The sequence below is a fragment of the Homo sapiens genome, chromosome 12 (assembly GCF_000001405.40).
Source record: "Homo sapiens chromosome 12, GRCh38.p14 Primary Assembly".
Classification (NCBI taxonomy): Eukaryota; Metazoa; Chordata; class Mammalia; order Primates; family Hominidae; genus Homo; species Homo sapiens.
Window position 1 is genome coordinate 106,495,110 of NC_000012.12, and position 27,189 is coordinate 106,522,298.

At 43.0% G+C, this 27,189-nt stretch overlaps 1 protein-coding gene and 1 long non-coding RNA gene across 4 annotated transcripts in view; one reads left to right on the forward strand and one right to left on the reverse strand.

Annotated features, from left to right (window-relative positions):
- POLR3B (RNA polymerase III subunit B) overlaps nucleotides 1-15,089 on the forward strand; it is a 152,451-nt gene extending 137,362 nt beyond the window's left edge. For 2 of the 3 annotated variants that reach the window (NM_018082.6, NM_001160708.2), the window contains exons 24-28: nucleotides 946-1,049; nucleotides 1,643-1,809; nucleotides 6,214-6,327; nucleotides 8,972-9,145; nucleotides 14,311-15,089. In NM_018082.6, coding sequence (NP_060552.4) covers nucleotides 946-1,049; nucleotides 1,643-1,809; nucleotides 6,214-6,327; nucleotides 8,972-9,145; nucleotides 14,311-14,440 — 689 coding nt within the window. In that variant the 3' untranslated portion in view covers nucleotides 14,441-15,089. The other variant, XM_017019621.3, reaches the window with a different exon arrangement.
- The window catches only part of LOC100287944 (uncharacterized), a 278,422-nt gene continuing 252,533 nt past the window's right edge, over nucleotides 1,301-27,189 (reverse strand). Inside the window, exons 2-4 of the long non-coding RNA NR_040246.1 lie at nucleotides 12,519-12,701; nucleotides 4,967-5,073; nucleotides 1,301-1,437 (exon numbers count right to left, since the gene is read on the reverse strand). This is a non-coding gene — a long non-coding RNA (uncharacterized LOC100287944). The remainder of the gene's footprint in view (nucleotides 1,438-4,966; nucleotides 5,074-12,518; nucleotides 12,702-27,189) is intronic.

Below are 27,189 nucleotides of genomic sequence, written 5' to 3' on the forward strand. Positions count from 1 at the left end.
TTAGTCCAATGACACTGTACAATTCTAAATTATGGAGATTATAGTTAACAATCTAAATTCTATTCCCATTCCTCTTCCCAAAAAAATCAGAGGAATGAAAAACTATTTAGCAACAAAATCCCCTATAGGTTAGAATAATATTAAGGGAATTAATTTAAGAGAATATTAGTAGTGTATAGAGTTGGTAGATTTTTGTTTTGTTGTTTTCATTCTTAGAATTCCATTTCTAATTCTAGCCTTTTTTTTTCCAAGAACGATTTGGTATTCAATTTTCTTGTTCAACTTTACAAGTTCAATCAAAGATCACTTTCCTAATGGGCTGTAAGCTATAGGAATTAAAATTCCTTTGGGCAGTTTAGACTCAGCCAGGGGAAGCCCTAGCAAAAATCAGCCAACCAGCCAGAGCACTGCAGCCTATAGGTAGACCTGTTAGCACATCAGCCACACACAGGTACTTCTTGTCACTGGTTTTTCAAACCACATTGTAAGCACACTCCTCATCCAATCATTTCTGTGTTTGGGGGTCAGAGAACTTGGATTCCTATAACTTGGGTGTAGAACCCAGGAGATCACGAACTAGCTAATGAGGAGCAAAACTGCTGCTGACTTAAAGCTTCAGGTATGGCCACAGGCCTGGGGTCCAGTGAAGCTGCTGCTCTTCAGTCTCTGTGGCACAGGAGGGTGGGCAGGCAGCCCAACAGCACCATTGTGTGCTATGCCGGCAGCACAGTCCACAGGCTGCAGTGCCTTTCGCAAGGAGAGTCGTTTTTGAACTGTTTGTCAAGCAGGATTGTTGAAAATCACTTTTGTTGCTCTTGATAGAGGCCATGGGGAAGATTTTAGAGCAGTGGAAATAGAGATAGCAGCGGGGAGATCCCAATTAAGTACTGTATTCTTCCTTTCTGCCAACTTGCTTTATGTGGCATGAAATCTTCTCTCCCCCAGGTGTTTGTGGCTTGATCGTCCCCCAGGAAGACATGCCATTTTGTGATTCTGGCATCTGTCCGGACATCATCATGAACCCACACGGCTTCCCATCACGAATGACGGTCAGTGACCTGTAGGTTTTTCAGAGGCATTGCCTTTAAGGAAGAAGCAGGCAGTTAGTTTAGTTAGAGTGAGTGGAGGTGACGAGGACTCTGAAGCTGTTTTTTCAGGTAGAGCTCTTCTGCCCCTTGCCAGATAAACAGGCTTCCAGCCCCTAACGATTCTGGGCCACTCCCCTCTACATAAAGAATGAGGAGCACATCTATACCTCCCTTTGAGAGTGGAGTCTTCTGAGTGATGAATTTACCCCTCAGCAAAAGAGAATCCCTTGTCTTGAACCTAAATGGATCTCCCTTTCAGTGATTATTTTTAGTGATCCTGGCTCCACCTCTTACCAGCTGTGTGGCCTTGGACAAGTTGCTTATCCTTCCCATACTTCAGTTTCTTCATCTGTAAAATGAAGAAATATAGGACCTATCTCATAGGGGTATTGAGAGGCGTAAAATTAGATCACACATGTCAAGCTTAAATACTGCTTCTATTAATTTATTACTGTTATTAATAGTGGTCGTGGGGAAATGAGCTGGAGATAAATAAGCAGAGAGAGTGCTTGTGCCACAGGGAGGTGCTCACTTAATTTGTTCACATCCTGCAGGTGGGGAAGCTCATTGAGCTGCTGGCTGGCAAGGCCGGTGTGCTGGACGGCAGATTCCACTACGGCACTGCGTTTGGAGGCAGTAAAGTGAAGGATGTGTGTGAGGACCTCGTTCGCCATGGTTATAACTACTTGGGGAAAGACTATGTTACATCCGGCATCACAGGGTAAGCATGCGATTGAGCTATTTTAAAGAAAAAGAATGGTTTTACTAGGATAGGGGAGACAAAGCCTTAAGGTATACTCTATTAAGTATACCTTCAGGCAAGCTTGTACAGCCCGTGGGCGGCATGTGGCCCAGGACGGCTTCGAATGCGGTCTGACACAAATTCGTAAACTTTTTTTAAAAACATTATGAGAGTTTTTCATGATTTAAAAAAAAAAATTTTTTTTTTTTTAGCTCATCAGCTATCATTTGTGTTAGCGTATTTTATGTGTGGCCCAAGACAATTCTTCTTCTTCCCGTATGACCCAGGGAAGCCAAAAGATCGGACACCCCTGCCTTAAGATGTAAGCATTAAGGCTATATGCCTTAAGCTTTATTTTTTTAAGAAACTGGATACAAGAAAATCTAACTTTAGAAAACTAACAATTGAGGAGTGCTGTTTGTACTGGTAAGATTATAATTTGGAAAGTAGATTTTTGGTAGGCCAAAGCTGGTGGATCGCCCAGGAGTTTGAGGCTAGCCTGGGCAATATAGTGAGACCTCGTCTCAAAAAATATAAAGTAGAAAAGATTTAATTTACCAAAATATGATTTCTACCCTATGCCTACTTTTAAGGAACACATCAATTACATATAATGCAAAGTTTTCCTTTAACTGTTGAACTTTCCCTGCAATTATGTGATGAGTATCAGAATAATAAATGCTTTGACAGATAGACCAAGGCCTAACATTTGTGCATGTGTTCACTAAAGATGTGCTAAGCACCTACCTAATATGTGCTAGGCACTGAGTATATACCAATAAATACAGTAGACATGGTCCCAGTTCTATGGAGCTGACCGTTTAGGTGTGTTGCTAGACATTAAAAAATAATAGACACAAGGTAACTTCTCAGTAGGGCCTACTGTTACCATCTAATTTAAAACTATAACCCCATACTGCCCATTTGCTGCTTTATTTTCCCTGTAGCACTGACCATTTTCAAATATACTACATAGTAATACTATTGCCTGTCTCCCCAACTAGAATGTAACCTCCATGAAAGCAGGGCTGGTCTGTTTTGTTTACTGTTCTATTTCCAGGGCATAGCACAGGGCCTGACACACAGCAGGCACTCCATAAACATTTATTGAAAAAAGGAATGCAGACAAATAAATACAAGTACATATAGCTCTCACCAAAATGAAGACAGAGTGGGTGAGAAGGCCCTGTGAGGAACTGGCTATGATATTTCAACTGAGAGATAAAGGGTGAGAAGGATAGGGCATTCGAAGAGTGTTTAAGGGAGAGGAAAAGTTATGTTTGACACTTTGCCAGGGAAAGAGCTTGGTAAGTTCAGGGAACAGGAAGAGGCCAGCCTGGCTGCGGTGCAGTGAAGAGGCAGTACCGGCAGCCCGAGGTGAGGGTGGAGGGGAAGAAGAGCCAGGCGACCAGGCTTGGGAGCTTGTGTTAACCTGTGAGAAACAGATCTCTGCAATGATCGTGAATGACAAGGTTCTGAAGCTGGAATCATCGTGGTTTTTAAAAGTTCAAATTAGTTGCCTAAATTAAGACACACTTAGGTATTTAATGCCAGATAAAACTCCAGGACCTAGTGTTTCTAGTGTTCTTCTGGGTGTTGTTTTTTGTTTGGTTTTGGGAGTTTTTTTTGTTTTTTGGGGTTTGTTTTTTTTGTTTTTTTGAGACAGAGCTTCGCTCTTATTGCCCAGGCTGGAATGCAATGGCGCTGTCTCAGCTCACTGCAACCTCTGCTTCCCGGGGGGGTTCAAGCAATTCTCCTGCCTCAGCCTCCCGAGTAGTTGGGACTACAGGCACAGACCACCATGCCCAGCTAGTTTTTGTATTTTGAGTAGAGACGAGGTTTCGCCAAGTTGGCCAGGCTGGTCTCGAACTCCTGACCTCAAATGATCCACCTGCCTCGGCCTCCCAAAGTGCTGGGATTACAGGCGTGAGCCACCACGCCCTAAGGTTTTAAACCACTTGAACACTAGTGAAACTCAGCATGGAAGCAAATGTAAGAACAGAGCTTGATTTTAGTGCTGCAAATAGATTCTCCAGATGTGATTGAAATTGTTAAAGCCTCTATCTATTAAAAATGTGGAGTGCTTTTAAAAATTGCCTATTAAAACTATAATAATATGGATTTCTTAGGTGTATCATACCTGAGATGTTATAGAAAAGCACATTACAGGAAAAGACTAATGGACCATTTCAGAAATGGTTCAATAAAATAATTGTGACCATTTCAGAAAACATAGTTGTCATTGCTAAATTCATTAACCTTCTCTTCACTTCTCCACCCAGAAATAAGGCACATTTTTGGCCAGGTGTTGACCAGAAAGTGCAAAACCATAGGATCAATTTGGTGGACCTTCGTGAACATAATTTGTACTGAAAGAATTGGATGGGTTATATCCTGCTTGCCGTAGACAATGGTTAGTCTATATCCCAGTCCACACTGCCTTCCCCTATGCCCCCAGCCAGAGTTTTCCTTTCTTTGCCATTTATTTCAGTGACAAAATCTGAGAAGCACTGTTTAGTTGAAAATTCCCGAGGGCATTTAAATATATCACCACCAGCTTTCACTTTTTGTTCATTCTTGAACATAGATAGGTAGGAGGAAAAATTGCATATAGCTTTACTCTGTGGATGATGGAATAGCATTGGGTAACCGAGTGTCATAAATTCTACCATGAGCAACCCTACCATTGAGGAATAGAATCATTCACTGTTAGAGCAGGAAAGAATCTTGTTCTGACCGCCTTCTTGTACAACTAAGAACACTCAGCTAGAGAGGTCATGTAATTACTTTACTATGTGACAAAACCAAGACAAGGACAGGGTCTCTTAATACCCTCTCCATTGTGCCTTCCACTCCACTCTGTGTCTTCCAAGAACCAGGTTGTGCTGAAGTCAGCAGAATGGCCTGATGACCACAAAAGCCTTGGCTCAGGATGCTGAGAGTGTGATCAGGGACACCGAGCAAACAGTGGCCAAGCTTTTCCTTTGCCTCTCTGCTGTGTCTGTTGTTTCCTTTACTTTTTCTACTTTTACATCATGCTGTACCCCAGAGTTTACTTGTTCCAAATCAGACCAGTGTTGCAGGGAGAGCCCTGGATTTGAACCCTCACTGCACCACTCACCAGTTCTTATCTGACCTGTCGGGCGCTCTGTGTCCATTTCTTCATCTTCAAAATAGAGGTGACAGTTCTTCCTCCCTGGATCGTTGTGTGGATTAAGTAGCACATGGTAGTTGCTTCCTTCCCTTTGAAGAAGAAAGTTTGAGGCAGTTAAAAAAAAATTTTTTAAGACATCAGTTCTCTGGTTGTTCTTGCTCCAGATTAATGAGAAAAGGTTTCTTCTGTCAAAGTACTTATATATTCACCCTCTTCTTAAACTCTTACTACAGACTTTCTAAAGATTCATTGAAGCAGTTATGTAATAGACATTTATTGAGTACCAGTTGTGTGCCAGGCAGGGTCACAGGTGCTGGAGCCACCGTGACAAAGGAGACAAAGTGCTTATCCTTGCAGAGTTACTTCTAGTGGGGAAGACAGGCAATAATCCGAGAGATAATAAATGTACACCACGGTATCAAAAGGGGCAAGTGCGCCAAAGGGTCAGGTTGAGACAGGGCCGGAGTGACGATGCCAGGTGGGAGGAGGACTTCTTTAGATGTGGTATTCAGTGAAAGTCTCTCTGAGCAGGTGAAATGTTTGACAGAGCCATATGAATACCTGGCGGGAGAGTGTTTCAGGCAAAGGAAACGGTAAGTCAGAGGCCCCAAGAGAGGAACAGGCTTGCTCCATTTGAGGAGTAATGAAGAGGCCAGTGTTGTTGGAGTAGAGTGACTGGCGGGACACTGGAATAGGAAACAGTGAGGTGTGCAGGAACTGGAGTATGTCTCACCATGTGGCCATAATATAGAATGTTGGCAATACAGATTCCAAGTATGATGGGAAACCATTGGTGAGTTCAGGACAGAAGAATGACCTATTGTGATTTACATTTTAGAAGGCATCCCCCTGACTTTTTATGCAAAGAATAGATTGTTGAGGGATGAGAGTGGAAGCAGGGAGATTAATTAGAAGATTATCTGTGGTAGCCCAAGCAAGAAAGGATGGTGGCCTGACCAGGGAGGTCATCCTGAAGGAGAGATCATCCCATACACACTGTTTCCCAACCTGTTTAAATGTCTATTTCTTTGTAAAGCCATTTATCTTTAAATATAGCTATGGTACTTTTCATATTTTTACAACTAGTCTTTTCATTCACTACAGACTGAAAATCATTCTTATCCAGTCAGTCATAAATGAGTAAGGACCTGCCAGTGATGGGTCCAAAGGCTGTCTCTTGTTAGCCCAAACTTAGTTTCTTAACCCACAACAATTGATCTTTCTTTCAGTGAGCCCTTAGAAGCATACATCTATTTTGGCCCCGTGTACTATCAGAAGCTGAAACACATGGTGCTAGATAAAATGCATGCCCGGGCCCGGGGCCCACGAGCCGTCCTTACCAGGTAAGAGAAAAGTACTTACAAAAAGAATTGATAATGCAGTCAAGTCCACCTTGTATTTTCCAGATATGGCAAAAAGCAGACTCAACAAAGTTTCTGTTTTCCTGAGATGTCAAAATTTGGCAAGTTTGGCATTAAGAAAATCATATATGTATGATTAAAATGAAAAAGTAGCAGCCAATTAAAAAATATTTCACAAGCGCAAGAGCAAACCCACCATAGGTCTTGCCAGTGGACTCCTAACACAACTATTTACTGTGTAAATGTCTGCAAATATGGTCCTATTTATAAAGGTCCATACAAGAAGATGTGTATGTATATAGCCACACACACATTGATATACTTGCATGTACCCATGTGCACACAGAAGACACATGCAGACATTATTTGGTAGCATAAACCACAATTGGAGTTTTTTAAAACTAATGTTATTGAAGCATAAAGTACCTCCACTTGCAGACTTATTTGAGTAAGCTAGAGGAGGTTAGGGGCCACATGTGCCCCGTTCACAGGTGTACCCTCAATCCCAAGCACAATGTCTGTGGGTTAATGAATGGATAAATTTCTTGGGAAAGAGAATTATAGCTACTAAGTTTCACATGTTCTTAGTGCTACTTTTTCCAGTTGGAGATGCATAGTCGAGGGCAGTGGTTCTCAGCCAGGGATGATTTTGCCTCCCAGGGGACATTTAACAACATCTGGAAACATTTTCAGATGTCCCAACTTGGTGCTGGGGAAGTAGCTACTGGCATCTAGTAGGGAGAGGCCAGGGATGCTGCAAGGACAGCCCCCTACAACAGAGTTACCCAGCTCAGTATGTCAGCGGTGCCGAGGTTGAGGAACCCTGGGCTAGGGGAGGGAACCCAGGCCTTGGAGTCAGACAGACAAGGCTGTGATCTCATCTCCACCTTTTCATTCCGTCACAAGCCTTAGACAGATCACTGATGACCACAGTCTGATGAAACTCACAGCTTAAGCATTTCTCATATTTAAAGTGGAGACAATAGTACCTACTTAACAGGTGCCAGTGAATGTCAAGAGTGTGAATACAGAATGTGTACAGCACCCATCCACAGGTGGCATCAGCAAGCATCCAGTTCCCTCCCCACTTTCACTGAGCACTGCCTGGATGTAACAATGTAGAGAAGGGGCAAGGATGAGGCAGCTCATGCTTGGGGTTTCATTTTTTTTTTAAGCCAAGGGAGAGGTGTAGTTGACTCAATTCTTTGACCATTTAAAACTGAGCACATGCACGTGTCTGTTGAAATGATAGACATATGTGTGCTTAAAACTGCAAAGAGGGAAGAGAAGTTGATTCTCAAGACAATAATCACCTCAGCAATGGTACCGTAATTGGGTTAGATGTGTTTCTCCCCTAAATGCTGTCCCCTCCTAAACTTCCATTTCAGTTACAACATCCAAAAACTATTTCAGAGTAACATAAATGTCAAAGCAGTTATTTCCTATATTTTGCTTTGTTGTGTAGAAAAAGTTATTACTTTGGTAACTTTTGTCTCTTCCATATGAAGACTGCCTCGAGTGCGTTTGTCTGTAGTTGGTTATCTTAGTTGGTTAAAATCCAAGTATTGGATTCTGTCCACATGTGGTCTGTCTACCTTTACCTCGTTCACTGACCTCAAGTGAAGGGAGCAACTACCCATTTGTGTTTCTACCGGCAGATAAAAATGTATAGATGTGCTCAGTTATGAAGTTTCCACTATAATGTGTTTATTTAGACGTATTTGTAAGTTATTCATGTGTATATTTCCTTTCAACAAGTAATCTACAACTTCTTTGATTTCACATTGAAACTCAACCACAACAATTTAAAAAAATCTTAAAATTTCAGTATGTGTTGGCATACCCTGTGTTCACCTTCTTAATTCTTTGGGAGACTGGCAGCAACAACAAAGATTAAAAGATGCTATGGAATACAGCAAACAAGGGGTGTATGGTCACCCCTGCTCAAAGATTACCTTTAAGAAGCCTGCCAGGGAGCTTGCTTTTTTTTCCCCCCAAATAATTTGTGTGATCCATGCCTACATGGGGTTGCCTAAATTGTTCAGATCCCCCTAATTTTAGCTACACCTCTGGGTCCTGTATTCTTAACCTCTTAAAGTATTCTCAAGCCCAGCATATAAACCACAGGGAATCCATTCAAGAGGCTAACAGCTCTGGCAGCAGCTACTGGAGGATCCAGGTTTCCCCCACAGTCTATTCTGCTTAGTTTTTCTGCTTTTAAATAATAGAATACTGAGACTCTTTGAAAATACTTAAAGACATTGTTTCCTGATTTGAAAACTCTGCTGTCCTAATAATAATGATAGTGATGGTAATAGTAATGGTGTTTTCTGTGATTATATATTAATATGTTATTACATCATATGATATTATGCAATTATATATTCATTTAACCATAACAACCATCAATATTACATCTTTTCTCAATTGAGGCTCTTTGGGATAGGTGTGCTTATGCACTTTTACAAATGAGGCTAAGCAGCGTGTCCAAGGTCCCTGTCCAGTTATTGATTTGGATCCAGATGAGCCCTGCTCCAAAGCCTCGTGCTCTCTGCCAGCATGTGATGCTACCTCTTTGTTTGTTTAACAGAATAATAACACATTTGTCTAATAACTTGTTTCAAAGGCAACCCACTGAAGGACGGTCTCGTGATGGTGGCTTGCGTCTCGGGGAAATGGAACGTGACTGTTTAATCGGTTATGGAGCCAGTATGCTTTTGCTAGAGAGACTAATGATTTCAAGTGATGCCTTTGAGGTTGATGTCTGTGGGCAGTGTGGACTTCTGGGGTATTCTGGCTGGTAAGTGGATACCATATGTCTCCCATACCACACCCCTTGCCTCTTAAATCACAGCTCAAGAATTGACCCTGGATCCTATCCGCATATTCTCCAGCCTCTGTCTGTGATCACTAACATACCCTCCCTCATGCATGTATTCCTGTCATTGGGGATACTCTGTGTACATGTCTCATTTGTCTACATCATGATCTACTTCCTACACAACTAGAGGCTAAGCTCCCAAGGAGTACAAACTTTACCTCCTTTTAAATATTCTCTCAGGTACTTTTTATAACACTATTTGCCTGTGAAAATCCTACAGATGCATTGTCGGGTGTTAGAATCGCAGTGTGTTAAAGAAACTCTTTAGGGAAGATTACATCGAATGCTTTCATTTGTAACTTCAGACCCAAAGAGCCAGGGATGCTGCCCCAGGTCTTATAGCAAATTGGTGACAGAGCCAAGAGCCAAGACCAAGACGACCTGGTACCCTGCCCCCTTGTCTGTACTCTCTCTGCCATGGCTAGCTGCTTCACACTTGTACTGTAGATTCTGTGAGGGCAGAAACCGGGTCTGTCTCAGTAATTTATTCAGCAAACATGTAGTAAGTATCTGCTAAGTGTCAGACACTGTTCTAGGCCCTAGAAATGCAGCAGTGAACAAGACAGTGGATGGCTGCTCCCAAGGAGCTTATCTTCTAGTTCATTCTGATTGCATCCTGTCATGTTTACCCTCATTTCTCCAGCCTGGGACCTGGTAGATGCTTCATAAAAAAATACTGGTTGAATGATACCCTGCATTTGTAGGATTGCCAATAAGTAAATCATGTCATTTGTAAAGTTTATAATTTCTGTGTAGCATTTGGTACACAAAGGTCACCTTAAAAGATGATGCTGGATGTTTTTTGTTTTTGTGCAGTTGCACCACCTTTCCTATTTGTAATGATTCCACTCTCACCAGAGAAGAAAAAGCTCACTTAGGGTTATTCCTAAAACACTCCTGTAGGCAAGAGAATCCATAGTTCCCCAAAAGCAAGGGGTTTTTTATTTTGTTTTTGGTTTTTGTTTGTTTCAAGACAGAGTCTCACTCTGTCACCCAGGCTGCAGTGCGGTGGTGTGATCTCGGCTCACTGCAGCCTCAACCTCCCAGGCTCAAGCGATCCTCTCACCTCAGTCCCCTGAGTAGCTGGGACTTCAGGCTCACACCACCACGCCTGACTAACTTTTGTATGTTTTGTAGAGACAGGGTTTCACCATATTGCCCAGGCTTGTCTCAAACTCCTGGGCTCAAGTGATCCCTCCCAAAGTGCTGGGATTTATAGGCATGAGCTACCATGCCCAGCCAAAAGTGAGTTCTTTACTTACTTTTCAAGCAGAGGCAAGGTCCAACAAGATCTAAGACACAAGCTACAGAGCTTCCAGCCTCACCCCCTCATTGCCCCTCACCTGCCCTCCCCAGAGTGCCTTTTCTCTAGATAGGGGCCATCCCCAAGATAGAGTTAGGCCCAAATAGCATTCATTGCTGGGGTTTGAGGAATTTGTGGGCCACCTTTTCCCCATTGAGTCCCCATCGTAGTTTCCTTCCAGACAGAGCCTCAACTTCTTGCCATCCTGAGCTACTAATTTCTAAGTTGAAAAAAGCCAATCACAAGTTGAACAAGTGGGCTCCTTAAAACGCAGTGTATCCCTTGCCAGATAAATGTCAAAACTTTCTGGCCAGTTATTTCATGATTTTGGTGAAGACTCTCGTCTGTAAGGAGATCATTTCACTTTAAAAACTAACAGAAGAGGTGGCCATTTGCGGTTCATCTTTCATAAGGTTGCAGAGGTGACATGATTCCAAGGATAAGCCTAGCTCTTTCTTATATGAATGAGATGGGGGTTTGCTTCAGTCCTGAGATGTCTATTTGTCTTTTGAAATGCATATTGAGCTTGCTTTTTATAGTCTGGGCTGTGCAACCAAAAAGAAAAAAAAGAAAAGAAATCATGTAATAGGAAGATGCCTGGATCCTAGTTCCACTATGCTTAAATCTTCAAATTTGACACAAGGATTTTTAAATAATTTACTTCGAAAGGATGGTACAGAAGAATCACGTCATTAAAAATAGAGGTCATGGAACTTCAAAAAGAGTTTCCTTTTCTCTTCCTCCCCCTTGCATTCTTCCTCCCTCTCCCCACCCCCGGAGAAAAAAGAAAACAGTCAACCCGATTCACTTATGTGCTTTGAAAACCTTCCCCTCTCCGCCACTGGTTACCCAGGGAAGGTAATGTAAGCAAGAAGACCTGTAAGCAGCGATTGATCCTTCAGCATTATTCTGCTAAATGTATATCTTCTTTCCTGCTTCATTTCTGTCTCATTTAGAGAGCATCTGATGGCAGTGTCTGATTTTGAAGCGTATGTATTCCGTGTGTATTGTATTTGAAATCCTTTGAAAGAGGACTAAATCAGGTTATACAGTTTGAGGGTCTTTACTGTAATTAAACAGACCTCAATATATACTGTATGTCTGATTTTGAGTGGCCTACTTATACCCTTGTTGCCAACAGAAAAAAATCCTAATCCATTCTAGTAGTCTAGCCGCTGCCTCGGGTGCTGCTTTCTGGCCGAGGAGCGTAATGATGCTGTCATTTTTCCCATCATTACCTGATCATGTGTGCTGGGTTGAGTGGGAGGGAGCATGGGCGTCGTTGGAGGAAGTCGCTCTTTAATGAGCCACACAATGAAGGCTAGGTAATTAGAGCAGTTCGGAACCTTGAAACTGGCCTTTTGTCAGGGATTTGCACATTAGTGAGGCATTGCTATGGGGATGTTTACAGCACGACTGTTGTTCTACAGAAGACACTAAGGGCATAAGTCACAAAAGAGAGGTCCAAAAGGAAGACTTCAGGAAGAAGAAAATCCCTATTAAGGTAATTAGCTCATAGAGGATGTTTCACTGGACAGTCATTTCTCGTGTGAAGCCACAGCCTCCCCTTTTTGCTACCTTTGCCCTAAAAAAGCCGTTCATTTTATTGTTGTTCACGTCAAGTTTCTACCTTTGCAAATTGTTCAGATACAAGGTAAGGTAAGGTTTTATACACACACATGCACGTTGGAACATTTTAAATGATGGAGAAGTATTTAATAATAGAGAAGATTAAAGGGCTTTCTGGAATATGAATCAGTACATATGGAAATTTAAAATAGATTAGCTTGGATCGGAGTCATTGGGTAATGTACTAGTCAGGAGAAGAAGCGAAAGGTACCCCCGTTAAATGCATTTCCCCAATTTAATGAAAGCATGAACATGATTCCTAGATAAATTACATCAACCCAAGCACATTAAAAACGTAATTTTTGAACTCGAATGCATTAAATAGGTCTTTAGATAATCTTTTAAGAAAAAGTAACTCACCAAGTTTGTATTTGTACTGTTAACGGATCAAATACAGGTTAAGCACCCTGCGTCCCCTCATCATAACATCAACTGTGCATTTGTGAGGGTTAGTCTTCTCCCATTCTCCTCCTCAGGAAACTCTGTCTGCATAGTTACCACCACCACGTGCACATTCTCAGCCTCAGTTCTTGCTTTTCTTTTCTAAAATAATACAAGCTTTATTTTACTGATTGCAAAAATGATCCCTGCTCATTGTAAAACATTCAAAAGTTACCACAAATATAAAGTGAGTCACATTAATTCCCACCACCCAGAGATGACCACTATTAACATTTTGGTGACTCTTTCAAGATTCTGATAAGGGCAGAAAAATACAAATATACACACAAAAAACTTAAAATTTTACGTATGATTTTGGGGGCTCCATACACTTACAAAACTTGTTTGAGGGCCCCCTTGGGACCATGCTGATCAACAAACTGCTTTTTTCACCTCACAGTTTGTCCTATACACCTTCCATTTCAATAAATGTGTGTCCACAACAGCAGGTCTAATGGCTTCACAGTCTTCTTCTATCTAAATGTCCCAGTGGACATTTGCATATTCTCACCTTATGCTGTTATAAATAGTGTGGCTGTCAGCATTCTTGTGCACATACCTTTGCCACTTTTGGGATTACAAAATCAAAGAATATGCACATTTACAGTTTTTACACACACTGTCTTACTGCCCTCCAGAATGGCCAATCCTTTGTTCACTAAGGAATCCCCCTTCAATTCCTGGTCAGCACCCGATCTTCCAAGCCTCAGTTGCTATTCTTCTTGGACTCATTTTCCTCCTCGTTAACTGTGAGGACCTAGTTTTCTACCTGTTAAGAGTCAGGATTTGTACTGGATACCTACTGTCCTAGCTGCTGCAGACCCTTGAGGTGTAGGGTAAGGTTGTATTTTGGTCTGAAACCTGAAAGAATAATTCACTTTCTCCCCAGGGACCCTTCTACAGTTGTAGCCATTGATTAAGAACTAAGTTCAGTTTACCAGCTCTTCCGGAAAGAAGAGAAATTAAAGTCCTAATTGGAATATGAGGCAAAGTGGTTAGGAACATGGACTGTTGTTGCTAGGGTTAAGTGGGAACATATGTGCACATGCACACATACACACATTTCTTAGTTTTGCACAAGGGACAACATGTTGTAAGTATAGTACCTCCAACACTCATAGAAATCACCAAGCCTGAAGAGCACTAGACAAGTTACCATTTGATTGAATACCACTGTCCTATTCAAAAGTCTTGTCTTTTCCATCAGACTTTACGTATCTCAGTGACAGAAATCAAGTTATAATTGTTGAGCGCCTTGCCTAGAATAATATACTGCTAGTATAGTTGATGCTTATCAAATACATGGAGATTGATTGAATTGGTTTAAAACTCTTTAAACAATGAAAAAAATTTAAATCTGAGTAAATTTCCCAATGGTTCAGATTTCTGGAGCTCTTTCAAAACAGTATATTGGCAAATGTTTTACATTTTAAGGAGAAAGGGCTGGATGTGTGGTAACAACTGACTCAACTTGCATGCTTTAAACACTGGAGGGAATGGTGTTTGTTTCCTCTTTTCTTTTGCTTCCTTGGATGTTTCTTTTTTTCTGGGCACATACGTACTTATATGATAGTGCAACTGAACACTTAGGAATAGAAAGATAATTTGATAGAATGATAATAGAACTTTATAGAGACCATTCTCACTTCCTACGTGGAGGCCTTTGTTTCCGAGTTGCTGTCTGTCTAACGCTTGCTGACTTGCGTTTCAGGTGCCATTACTGCAAGTCATCCTGCCACGTGTCTTCCCTCCGTATTCCGTATGCCTGCAAGCTGCTCTTCCAGGAACTACAGTCTATGAACATCATCCCCAGGTTAAAACTGTCCAAGTACAATGAATGAGGATGGAAAAAATGATTATTAAAGAGAACAAGTGATACATCCAATGCAACGGAAAGCAGAAGGGATTTAGGACTACGTCTCCTCCTGTGAAGAATTCCCTTGCGTATTCTCTCTCTAAAACAACCAAAAAAAAATGGAGAGGCTTTTTATATACTCTAAGACTGGCTAAACAACCTTGATCATTGAGCCTCGAGCCATGGGAGAGATGCTGACCATGTGGACTGCAAGGCTGCTTGATTCACAGATGGATGTGACCTAAAGGATAAATAAGCTATTACTTATGTGCTGATCTCTTGACATTCACTCATTAGAAGACCTTACTCCTTCAAGCAAATGTTTGGGGTCAAATTTACCATATCTTCTGGCTAACCATATTCAAGATTCTTCTGAAACTTGGAGGATGTAAAGAATCCATTTGATTTGGTCAGCCTGGCTTTTGTCGTGGTGGCTGGCTCGGATAAATTTTCCCAACAATTAAATCTTGCCTTTACACACCCAAACTTTGTAATTTTAGTCTTGGTGAAATATAATGAATTTGTTCCTACCTTGTCAAGCAAGAATGTCGTCTTCTCCTATGGACTCAATTGCTATTATTTTAAACCTGCATGATTGTACCATGCAATACTATTCGTTAAATATCTGAATCTAACCCCGTGGCTGCTTTGTCATGCTCTGTCCCTTCCATGCCTGCCAGGATGCTAGCTGTCCATTTCATTTTTAATCTGACAGACTTCCTTACTCATTTCTAATTTGTTCTCAACTGCTGCCCCAAAGCCAGATAAACATTTGTGTTAAGGATTGTTTGTAAAATCAGAGTCAGAAACACTTTGAGTAATGGCCTAAGCCTTCATTCCCAGCATGTCACACTGAAGATGTTCAACAGAATATTAATAGGTATTATATACCAACAAGAATCAAGCTCCTATGTCAAACTAAGGTTGAGAAACGGGGTAACCAAGTTAAACATTCCACAGGACTTTTTCAAAGCCCTTAAAGATCCCAAGCTAATGTGTACTGGGTTTCAAAAGAGGGATGTTCCAGGGACCGAGGCTAGTCATTGACTTGAGAACTCAACCTCACTTCTTCTTTTTCTTCACAATAAAAAATTTCTAACACACGTGGGTATAACAGTCATAGCGGTATCAGTGAAAGCAGAATGAAAGACACTGCAGGTGAGCAGGCCTTCCTCAGCCCTCATGGCAGGGACTCAATAGGTATTCTTTTTTCTTTTTTTTTTCTTTTGAGACAGGGTCTCTCACTCTGTCACCAAGGCTGGAGTGCAGTGGCAAGATCACGGCTCACCGCAGCCTCAATCTCCCGGGCTCAGGCTATCCTCCCACCTCAGCCTCCTGAGTTGTTGGGACTACAGGCGCATGCCACCACACCCAGCTAATTTTTGTATTTTTGGTAGAGATGGAGTTTCGATGTTGCCCAGGCTGGTCTTGAACTCCTGAGCTCAAGTGATCCGCCCGCCTCGGCCTCCCAAAGTGCGGGGATCTCAAGTGTAAGCCACTGCGCCTGGCCTCAATATGTATTTCAACAGGTATTTCAAAAAGGAGTTTGAATGTTCAGATCTTTGCTATGCCAATTCCTTTTTTTAACCTAGCTTATAGTTCTCAAAACTGATGGTACATAAGGATTGCCGTACTGGATTAAATGTACAATCATACTGTACTTTGTGGGCTTTTTAAGGAGTTTTCTAGGGTGATCCTGATTATCTCACATCGTGTAGCAAATCCACTTCCCAAATCCATTTGCCCTGCAGTGTGGGACACACCATTTCAGTGAACACTCAGAGGGTCAGGCTGGAAGAGTTAAAGGCAGTGTGCTGGGTGCTGGCAGGAGGACTTCATCGTTCATCATTCAGTACCTGCCACGTACAAGGCACTGGACTAAGGATAAAAGAACAGGACAGGGCCTCTGCCTGACCGAGGACATAGTCCAGTGGAGGAGGCCAAGATATATGTGCTGGTCATGGAGCACTGCCCTGCAGTCAGTGCTGAGGATTAACCTCGGCAGTGCTGAGGGAGTGCCCAGGGCAAAGCAGCCAACAGTGCTCTGAAGATTTGGAAACACTTCACAAGTGTGAGTATGCCCTTTATACATGAAGAAACTGACGCCCTGAGTAGCTAAGTGACTCCCCAGAGCCTCACTGCTAACAAGGGGGACAGCAAGGGCCTTGGGACCAGGCATTCTCACATGCAGGGCTTTGTTCTGGTTTTATCTGTGATTATATATTTTTCAGTCACCAAAAGTGATAGTTTTTAAAAAAATTCAGATGCCCTTGAATGGTTGTATCTTTTATAAATGAACATCCTTCTCAGGAAACCATTCCAAGCCAGTCTAATCTTTCTGAGGGAGTCACCTTTCTAAGTGTCTAGGAAATTCTAAGTTTACAAGATCTAGAAAGTATGGGTTTTCAAGTCGAGACATCCTTAAAGGAAAAAATTCTATCAGATTGATATCTCAAAAATTAGCAACTGCCACATTTGAATAGCTATTTGACTCTGAGAAATACTTTAATGAAAAGCAGCCAGACACCAGGCATGGTAGCAGGCACTTGTAGTTCCAGCTACTCAGGAGGCTGAGGCGAGAAGGTCATTTCAGCCTACGAGTTTGAGACCATCCTGGGCAACACAGCAAGACCCCATCTCTAGGGAAAAAAAAAAAAAAAAAGCAGCCAGATTTGGTAAGCTAGTCCCACTACGGTTTTATTTATTTGTAAGTTAAAAACAATTAACTTACAAATAACTTTAATAGTTATTTTTTATTTAAAGAGTTTATTTAAACTTTATTTAAAGAGTTGTTTATAAATAATTAGATTTTCTTTTCCAGTAATGATAGAGTAACCTTTTACAGACCACCCTCAAAGCACTTTTTTCCCTCCAGTCTTTTGCGAGGCTGGAAGTGGCACAGGATGAGGCTGAAAAGCCACACCAAAGCCATTGAAGAGGCTGTGACCCTGACATGAGCTTTGACAGAATCAAAGGGCTGGGGAGACAAGACTGTGGGCACAAAATTGCCCAGATGCCAGGATCAGAGAGGTCAAGATCCCATATAGAAAGGAAGTACATTGAAGTGAGCTCAGCTTCTTCACAACTCTTCTGGATTTGCCAGCTCCAGCTAATAAAATGTGAAATCACTGACTGGGTGGATTTAAACGACAGAGATGTATTTTCTCACATTTCAAGAGGCTCAAAAGTCCAAGACAAAAGATGTGCACAGGGTTAGGTCTAGTGGGCCTCTCTTCCTGGCTGCTTGTGGCCACCTTCTCACTGCAGCCTCACGTGGCCTTTCCTTGGCACACAATAAGGGAGCATGTGAGTGAGCTCAGGTGTCACTTTTTAGGATGCCAGTCCTGTTGGATCAGGGTCCCACTCATATGTCTTCATTCAACCTTAATTATTCTCTTAAGGGCCCTATCTCCAAATGGGATCATGCTGCGGGCTAGGGCTGCAACATGTGAATTTGGGGACACACAGTTCAGTCCATCATACCCCTGAAGACATTTGCCAATTCATAACAGCACGGATGGAACTTGGCAGTATCTATTAAAGCTAAACATACTCAGCAATTCCATTCCTAGGTGTGGGCCAGCAGAAATATGAGTGTGTTATCAGTATGTGTGTACAAAAATGTTTCTAGCAGCATTATTTATAGTAGCCCAGGTTGTAAATAATCCCTGCCTATTAACAACAGAATAAATTGTGGGATGGTCATTGATATGGCTTGGCTGTTATGCCCCACCCAAATCTCATCTCGAATTGGAATCCGCACGTGTCAAGGGAGGGATGTGTAACCCCCACGTGTTGAGGGAAGGAAGTGATTGGATTATGGGGGCGGTTTCCCCAATGCTGTTCTCGTGATAGTGAGTGAATTCTCACGAGATCTGATGGTTTTATAAATGGTAATTTTTTTCTTTGCTCTCCCACTCTCTCTCTTGCCTGCTCCGTGTTAAGACTCGTCTTCTTCCCCTTCTACCATGATTTTAAGTTTCCTGAGGACTCCACAGGCATGCAGAACTGTGAGTCAATTAAACCTCTTTCCTTTGTAAATTACCCAGTCTTGAGTAGTATCTTTATAGCAGTGTGAGAATGGATGAATACAGTGATACAATGGAATACTATACAGCAATGAAAAATGAGCTGCTGCTACCTATAATATCATAGGTAATCTCACAAATATAATATAGGGCAAAACAATTTAAGCCCAGATGGGGTGTGGTGGCTCATGCCTGTAATCCCAGCACTTTGGGAGGCCAGAGGTGGGTGGATCACCTGACGTCAGGAGTTCAAGACCAGCCTGACGAACATGGTGAAACCCTGTCTCTACTAAAAATACAAACATTAGCCAGGAATGGTGGTGGGCACCTGTAGTCCCAGCTACTCGGGAGGCTGAGGCAAGAGAATTGCTTGAACCTGGGAGGCGAAAGTTGCAGTGAGCTGAGATTGCGCCACTGCACTCCAGCCTGGGCGACAGAGTGAGACTCCGTCTCAAAAAAAAGTAAATAAATAAAGTTAATCCCAAAAGAAACATATCAATTCCTTTAAAGCTCAAAAATAGGCAAAATTAAGATATAATATGAACAGTCATAAGATTTCCCTGTGCAGAGTGGGGTGGCTAATGGCTAAGAGGTGCAAGAGTGGGGCTTCTAGGATGCTGGTAATATTTTTTTGACCTGAGTGCTGATTACATGGGTGTGTTCATTTTATGAAAATGCATTAAGCCATATTCACTGAGGACTTTTTACCTTTCTGAATGTACATCATTGTTTAATAAGTTTTTTTAATCTTTACCAGGTGACTTAAGAGTTTAAGAATACAAGCTCTAAACCTGTGTTTCAGTCTCTTCACATAATAGATATGTCACTCCAAATATAACATATTGTGTTCTTTTAGTTTTCCCATCTTCAAAATAGGGAATATAATAGTACCAACACCTGGGGCTATTTTTAAGATTAAATGAGATAACGCATCTAAAGGGCTTACCACAGTGCCTGGCACAAAAGAGGTGTTCACAAATGTTTGTTATTGCCTTCATTGATGATAACCAGTAATCATATCATACACCTTATTAACAGCACTGCCAGGACTGGCAGTGTACAACTGTACAACTTCATCAGGCAAGGGTTAGGAAAGGCAAACCCTGAGTTTCCTTTCGAAGAGAGTTTGGAAACTAGGACCAAGTGCAGAACCCATAGGATTTTGCAAAAGCGATTTGTGAAAGCTGCCCTGTTTAACAATGATGGGCGGAAGGAAGGTGGTGGACTTAGTGAGCACACTTCCCTGGAACAACCATTTTAGCACTGACATCAAAGTGAGGCCTGTCGTCGGCGCGGGAGTCCCAGAATGGTTTCATGAAACCCACAGAACGTTCTCAAAATGCTTCCATGTGGTGAGAGTCAAGTAAAGGATTGAAAAAAACACAGAAGTCCTTGATTGGGTGCTACATAATGGGATAGTTTTCAGCTGCTTCAGAGCATTTTGGCTAACACCTTTATTTGCAGTAATGAACCACATGAGGGTGAGCACATTAGGGCTGGTGGCTGGGCCCATCCGTTCTCCGCCGTCTGAGTAATAGAGGAGCCAGTTTCGGAGAGACCTGTAAATAATTCCATTGTGAAACGGATGATCAGAAAAGTGACTGTAAAAGTAGCACCTCTTTACCATCCATATTTACTCCATATGTGTCTTGAAAACAGTTTATTTCATTTGTTGACCAAAAGTTGATTTTTACTACTTCAGCCCACAGGGCCAAGATTAGTGGGAAATTAATGCCAAGCTTTAAAAAGGCAGTTTTAAATGGGGGGAAAAAGTAGTAGCAATCTAGAAGTATATAGATTACTAATGCCAAGCTACCAGTTTGAGTTTTAGAAAGAGGCTTCAGAAGCAGTGAAGAGATTTGCTTCAGCAAATCAGTCTTGATCAGGATGTCACGGCAGAAAATCTCAGCACAACCAGACACTCACATTTTTACTCACAAGTCTAACATCTCACACCATGCTCAAAGTATTTTTCAAGGTCAGGTAATAGCTCTCGTTCCATGCATAATAAATTTTAAGTCTGGCTAACTCCCAGTCATCCACATTAATGGAGGCAAGGTGTGATGTGAATCAATTAAAACATGATGAATTCAACATCTTTTGTATTGGATGCTGGGATGAAGTTTGCAGGCACATTTTTAATATAGCTTGCATGGTGGTTTGGTGAGTTTGCTGTACTTCAAATAGTGACTCCTAGGAACACTGTATTTGAAGAAAGTGGAATAATAATGTCTTTTCTGGCTAAGTAATGACAGATCTTTGGAGTGGGGGGGGTGGTTAGCCACACTCAACTGGGATGCCTCTAGGCCACTAGTATTCAAAGTTTGGTCGCTGAACCAGCAACATCAGCATCACCTGGAAACTTGATAGAAATGCACATTCTCAGGCCCCTCCCCAAACCTGCTCAGAAAATCTGCTGGAGAGGCTCAGCAATCTGGGTCTGGAGGTTTCCGCTTTCTCCCTCTAGCTTCCTCTCCACTCCCTGCTACTCCCATAAAGATATCCCACTTCAAAGGGGGCCTAAGTGAGTGCTTGGAAGGCCACGGTTTCTCTTCCTATCTCAACTGGTCATGTCAGTCTGCTGTCCAAGTCCTTGAAGGGATGGGACAGCATCGCCTCTCCCACAGCAAAGCCCTGAAGTCAGCAGAGACGCTCTGGGTGCTGCACAGCTTCCTTGGCACCTGCAGGGGTGGTTTGGTGCTGGGATTTTTCAGCTCTCTTTGCAGGGGTGTCCAACCTTTGGCTTCCCTGAGCCACATTGAAAGAATTGTCTTGGGCCACATATAAAATAAACTAAGGATATCTGATGAGCTTTAAAAAAAAAAAATCACAGCTCGGCGCAGTGGCTCACGCCTGTAATCCCAGCACTTTGGGAGGCCAAGGCGGGCGGATCACAAGGTTGGGAGTTCAAGACCAGCCTGACCAACATGGCGAAACCCCATCTCTACTAAAAATACAAAACTTAGCCGGGCATGGCGGCACGTGCCTGTAATCCTAGCTACTCAGGAGGCTGAGGCAGGAGAATCTCTTGAACCCAGGAGGTGGAGGTTGTAGTGAGCTGATATTGGGCCACTGCACTCCAGCCTGGGTGACAAAGCAAGACTCCATCTCAAAAAAAAAAAAAAATCTCATAACGTTTTGAGAAAGTTTATGAATTTGTGTTGGGCTACATGTGGCCCATGGGCTGCCGGTTGGACAAGCTTGCTTTAGAGTATGACCAGCCTTAGGGCTGCTGTCCTAAAAATGAGTTGGCAGTGGTATTATCAACAAAGAAGGAGCCAAGGTGCTTCCACTAATAAGCTGAGTCTCAACTTTCTAATCTGTTCAGTGGGTATATAATACCTCCCCACCTAATGACCTATGCGGGCTTACACAGGAGTAAGAATAGTACTTACCCCATAGGTTTGCTGTGATTAATAAATGAGTTAATTCAAGTGAGGCACTTAGAACAGGGCCTACCCCATGCTACACACTTGATAGAGATTCGCTTTTCTTTCTTTGTATGTGTAAACTTCAAACTAGGCCAGTTTCTCAAGCTTGGCACTACTCACATTTGGGGCTGGCTAATTCTCTGTTGTGGGGCTGTCCTGTGCATTGTGGGATGTTCAGCAACATGCCTGGCTGCCACCCACTAGATGCCAGTAATGTACCCTAATCATGACAATTAAAAATGTCTCCAGACATCGCCCAACATTCCCTGCCGGGAAAAATCACCCCCAGTTTAGAACCACTGAACTAGACAATGTGTATGAAAGTGTTTTAAATTCCAGAGCAATTGAGAACAGTCTCAGCAAATCTTTTGCAGCTTTGTCCTCAGGAAACTGATAGCCAATCTGCTTCTGGATAATTGAGGGACTGTATTAACAAATGTGAACATGAATGCAAACCCTTGTTTTTTCTTCATGTATCAGTTGTCATGGCATCAGATCAAGCTGCTGTCAATCATTTGTTGGTCATTAAGTTAAATAAGTTTCATTCCTGTTGTACACTGTACTTTTATAGATCTGTTGGTAATGTTATAGTCATAAAAATAAGATCAATCATAATCTCCGTTGTCATTCACATTTGCCCCCAGCTTGATTTTGTCCTAGATCTAGCCTATTTTTGGTTTTTGTCAAGGACATATGCTGATTTTCATCATTTACTCAATCACCCCTCAGCCTTGCATCTGCCCGCCTGCCATGTGGCAGGGACTGTTCAGCTCCCAGTTCACCCCAACGCTGAAAATTCTGCCTTGAATGGCCCTGTGGGAGCAAATGGGCTTGAAAGTCCTAGGGAGGGCCCTCTTCCACACAAGCTAAAGTCCTGCTTGCATTTTAATATGACAGCAATAGGGCTGGGTCCCCAGCACAGAAATCTCAGCATCGACAACTCTCTTTGTGAGTTACGGGTAGGTTTCCTTCATCGTTACTCTGGGTCTTGCATGTCCCAAGGATGTCTATAATCTGTCAGGACCTGAAATATGGAAACATCGGTCCAGACAATGAAACAGGAGGCTGTTTGTGATTTACTACCTGCTCTGCCTGCAGGGAGAGTTATTCTAATTACCTTATTCAGTGTCAGATGTTACAAAAATCCAGGAGTAAATATTTATAGAGATTATGAGACAGGCACAGTTCTGATAGTACAGATGTCATAGGACTTTTTCATTTAAATAAAGTCAGAGATGGCAAATACACATATATGTGCTCCCATTCTCGGTGGCTCCCTAATCTAGCTCATGCCAGTCTATTGTGCTAAACCTGAATTTGATCTCAGACTCTTGAACACCAAGCTCTGACAGCCACAACCCATCAGCTGCGAGTCAGGAGCATGCTGTGGTCGAGAGCAAGAACTCTGCGATCAAATCGACTGCCTTCAAATCCTACCTCCACAACCTACTGACTTCTATGATCTCTGGCAGATTATTTTGCCTCAGTTTCCTGTCTGTAAAAATGAGGTAATCGTACCTACTGGCCCAGTATGGTGGCTCATGCCTGTAATCCCAGCACTTTGGGAGGCCAAGGTAAGAGGATCACTTGGACCCAGGAGTTCAAGATCAGCCTGAGCAACATAGCAAGACCCTTCATCTACAAATTTTTTTTTTTTTTTTTTGAGACAGAGTCTTGCTCTGTCACCCAGGCTGGAGTGCAGTGGCACGATCTCGGCTCACTGCAAGCTCTGCCTCCTGGGTTCATGCCATTCTCCTGCCTCAGCCTCCCGAGTAGCTGGGACTACAGGCGCCTGCCACCACGCCCAGCTAATTTTTTGTATTTTTAGTAGAAACAGGGTTTCACCATGTTAGCCTGGATGGTCTCGATCTCCTGACCTCGTGATTGGCCCGCCTCGGCCTCCCAAAGTGCTGGGATTACAGGCGTGAGCCACCGTGCCCGGCCACACATTTTTTGTTTTTTAATTAGCCAGGCATGGTGGTATATGCTTGTTGTACCAGCTCCTCAAGAGGCTGAGGGTGGGAGGATCACTTGAGTCCAGGACTTTGAGGCTGCAGTGAGCTATGATCATGCCACTGCACTCTAGCCTGGGCAATAGAGCAAGACCCTGTCTCCCATAATAATAATAGTACCTACTCATAGGTTAATTGAATCAATCAATTGAGCACATAACAAATGCTCAATAAGTACCAGCTATCATCATGATTACTTGGAAATGGCTTTCTTATGAAACTTAATTTCCATCCCTGTATAGTGGCATTTTTTCCTCTTTTTAGATTAAGTTCAATCCAGCTATGTGATTGGTTACCTAAGTGGGGCAGCCTCTCATGCTAAGGGTAGGGTTTCATCTTTGTTGGAGTAGTAAGTTTAAATTTTTGTTCAAAAATTTATAAATGTTTACTTTTGATTACAATGGAGACTGGGTTAAAGGGTGTGGTTGACTGAAAGTAAAGCCATCTCCACTCTCAGAAACAAAACAGCTTAAAGTATTTACCTAGCACTGAGTTAGGGAGTACAGTCTCATGTGTGAAAGAAATTGAAGACATGCATATGACATTGTTGTTCTTCCCATCCGGCATCCACACTGCCTCATATTACCAGATTTTATATATAATGTCCATATTCAGCTGTGTGCATTGAACACAGCATTAATGCTCCCCGCGTAAGAATCCGATGACCTACATAAGAAGGAATTTGTATATAAAGGAATCTTTGGCTTATGTGCAAAGGAAAAAGTCTCCCCTGGAAAAATGCAGGCCTTACACATTTAGCAGACCCTCGTGTCCACAGAAACAGTCATTGGCAATTAGGCAACTGCCATAAGATCAGAAGCAGGAGCCCGCACATGAAACAGGCGGTGCAGGAAGATCACTGCCTTCTATCTCTTGAGTTACGGGCGGCTGAGGTTGCCTCCCCCTGTGTCCAATCTGCTCTGAGCTTTTCCTGCTGTGGACAGAGGCCCTGGAGACTTTTACACACCCCAGTTTTCATGCGGCTTACTGATCCCTTTTCACGTGAATGAAAAACGCCTTTGATTTTGAATACTCAACGTCTGTTTTGTGTAACACTTTACTGATGTGCCAGAATCATTCTGTACCTTAAAGGGGGTCTTGCACTGGGCTATTAAAATCAGTCCTTCTGTGAAGAGTCACTGTGCTCACTTAAAGGATAACTGCCCTGCCTTTTTAAATGGGGCTCATCTTGTTAGACCTGGATTAGGGAAGAGAGGAGCAAGCCTACCCGCTGTTGAAACCCATCCAAAGCCCATCAATGAGTTGGGTCCAACCACAAGAGAGGCTTCAAAGAAATATTACTATCTGCCAACCAGCTCTTCTTTGGGAACTCTACTTCCTGTCATTAATTCCAGTTAGAATCATGGTAAGCTAATAGAGACCTTGAACCAGTAGGTCTACTTTATTTGTTCAGATGACAGAATGGGTTGTTCCGTTTTCTATGGAGTTCCACATCTCTGGAGAAGTCCAAGGAAAAGTTTTATGACTTATCTGTTCAGTCAGCGCTCTCTGTCTCTTCTAGGAACGGATGCTCTACTAGGTTCTGGGGCTACAGAAATGAGTTAGATGATGTCCCTGCCCTCTGGATGCTCAGAACTGGGAGATAAGATAGAGAAGCTACCAGAGAGAGGAGGCCGCCATTCACCTATGTAACTTTGGCAAATTCAATTACATGCTCAGCATTTAAAAGGTAAAGGAAGGGTAGTATTTAAGGCAGACAATACCACTCCCATCCTTCATCCACACCCCTGCCATAGTTGAGCCCAGGTTGAGTGGAATGTAGTCTTCTGTCTCCTCATGCCTCTCACAATACGAGCATCTCTGCTGCAGTGTGAATCTCTGGAGTTAAAAAGATATGGATAGTTTTTAGTCTTTTTGTACCTTATAGACCCTAAATGGAAAGTACTGTCCCACTGGGTGTTCAACCAAACAAATAGCCACTGTCCCAATGATGAGCTGTTTAAGTTATCTTCAAGGATGATTTTGACTTTATGGGGTTTTCACTTGAAACTATTTAAATGCCTGCTGTAGAAAATAACAGACTAGATTTCTCTATCATACAGGAGGGGAAGCCGCCCGTAGTGTCCTATAGTGGGGGCTCCGGTGCAGGCAGGGCAAGTTTTCCAGAAGAGGTGTCTGCCAGAGCTGACTTTTGAAGAATGAGTGGACATTTGCCAAGGGCAGATGGTCCTGGGTGGGGCTGGAGGTGAGAGCATCAGGAAGTAGAGCTGACAGGACTTTGCAGGCAGTGAGAGAGGAATCAAGGGCACTGTGAAAGTACAGCCTGGACCGCCAAGTGGGTAGTGAACCTCCAAGGCAAGGAGCGAGTGGCAGACACACTACGATGTGTTCTGTGTGGCACATATGGAGTTGGGTGTGTCCAGGACCCCTGAGTTAGTGGCCCATCTGGAAATGAGAGGCAGGGGCTGCCAAGGTAGATTGGGAAGTCATCAGTGATTGTGGGCACAGAATGAATGTCACACACACCCGCTCCAGAGAAGGGAAGAGGGTCGGAATGAACCCTGAGGACCCCAGCATGTGGGGAATGGGCACGGAGAGAGGCACCTTCCAAGAAGTCCAAGTTGGGGCAGCAAAGGAAAGCCAGAAAACAGCAGAGTCCAGAGGCCAAGGGAAGAGGGTTTCTAAGTAGGAAGGAGGTCACAAGTCGGAATGTGAAGAGGACCAGGAAGATGAAGTCTGCAAGTCCAGTGGATCCCACCAGGCTGTGAGAGCTGATTCAAGGGCATGAAGTCAGCAGAGGTTAAAGGCACTAGAGGAGGGAGCAGCAGGAGGCTGTTTAATATGATGCCTTAGCGTTCCTAATTGCCCACTTACTGTCTAACAGAGGCAAACAAACCTAGGAGACACCACTGGACTTTGTGTGGCCTCCAGTGTGCTGGTGTCAGCACCCTTTCCCAGAATTCTCTCCCATCAGCCTGCCTGCAATCCCCACATTGGACTCCGCAGGCAAGTCACCTGGGAGGACCATCCATGAACACCTGATTCCTATCAAGACTAATGTGATTCCCTAACCTGTCTTCTCAGGCCCCTGAGGAAATGGACGAGGATCAGGAGGGCGGGATGAGGGCAGCTAGAGAGAGGCAAAGTGAGCAGACCCCACACCCCACCACCCGCATAATGGAGGCTTTGGGAATTACAGTGAGGGGAGGGTGACAGAAGAACATGCTGTCCTACCCACAACTTGCACAGTTTGGACTTTGACCAACTTGACCAATACTGCTGCAGAAGGAACCTTAAGCTTAC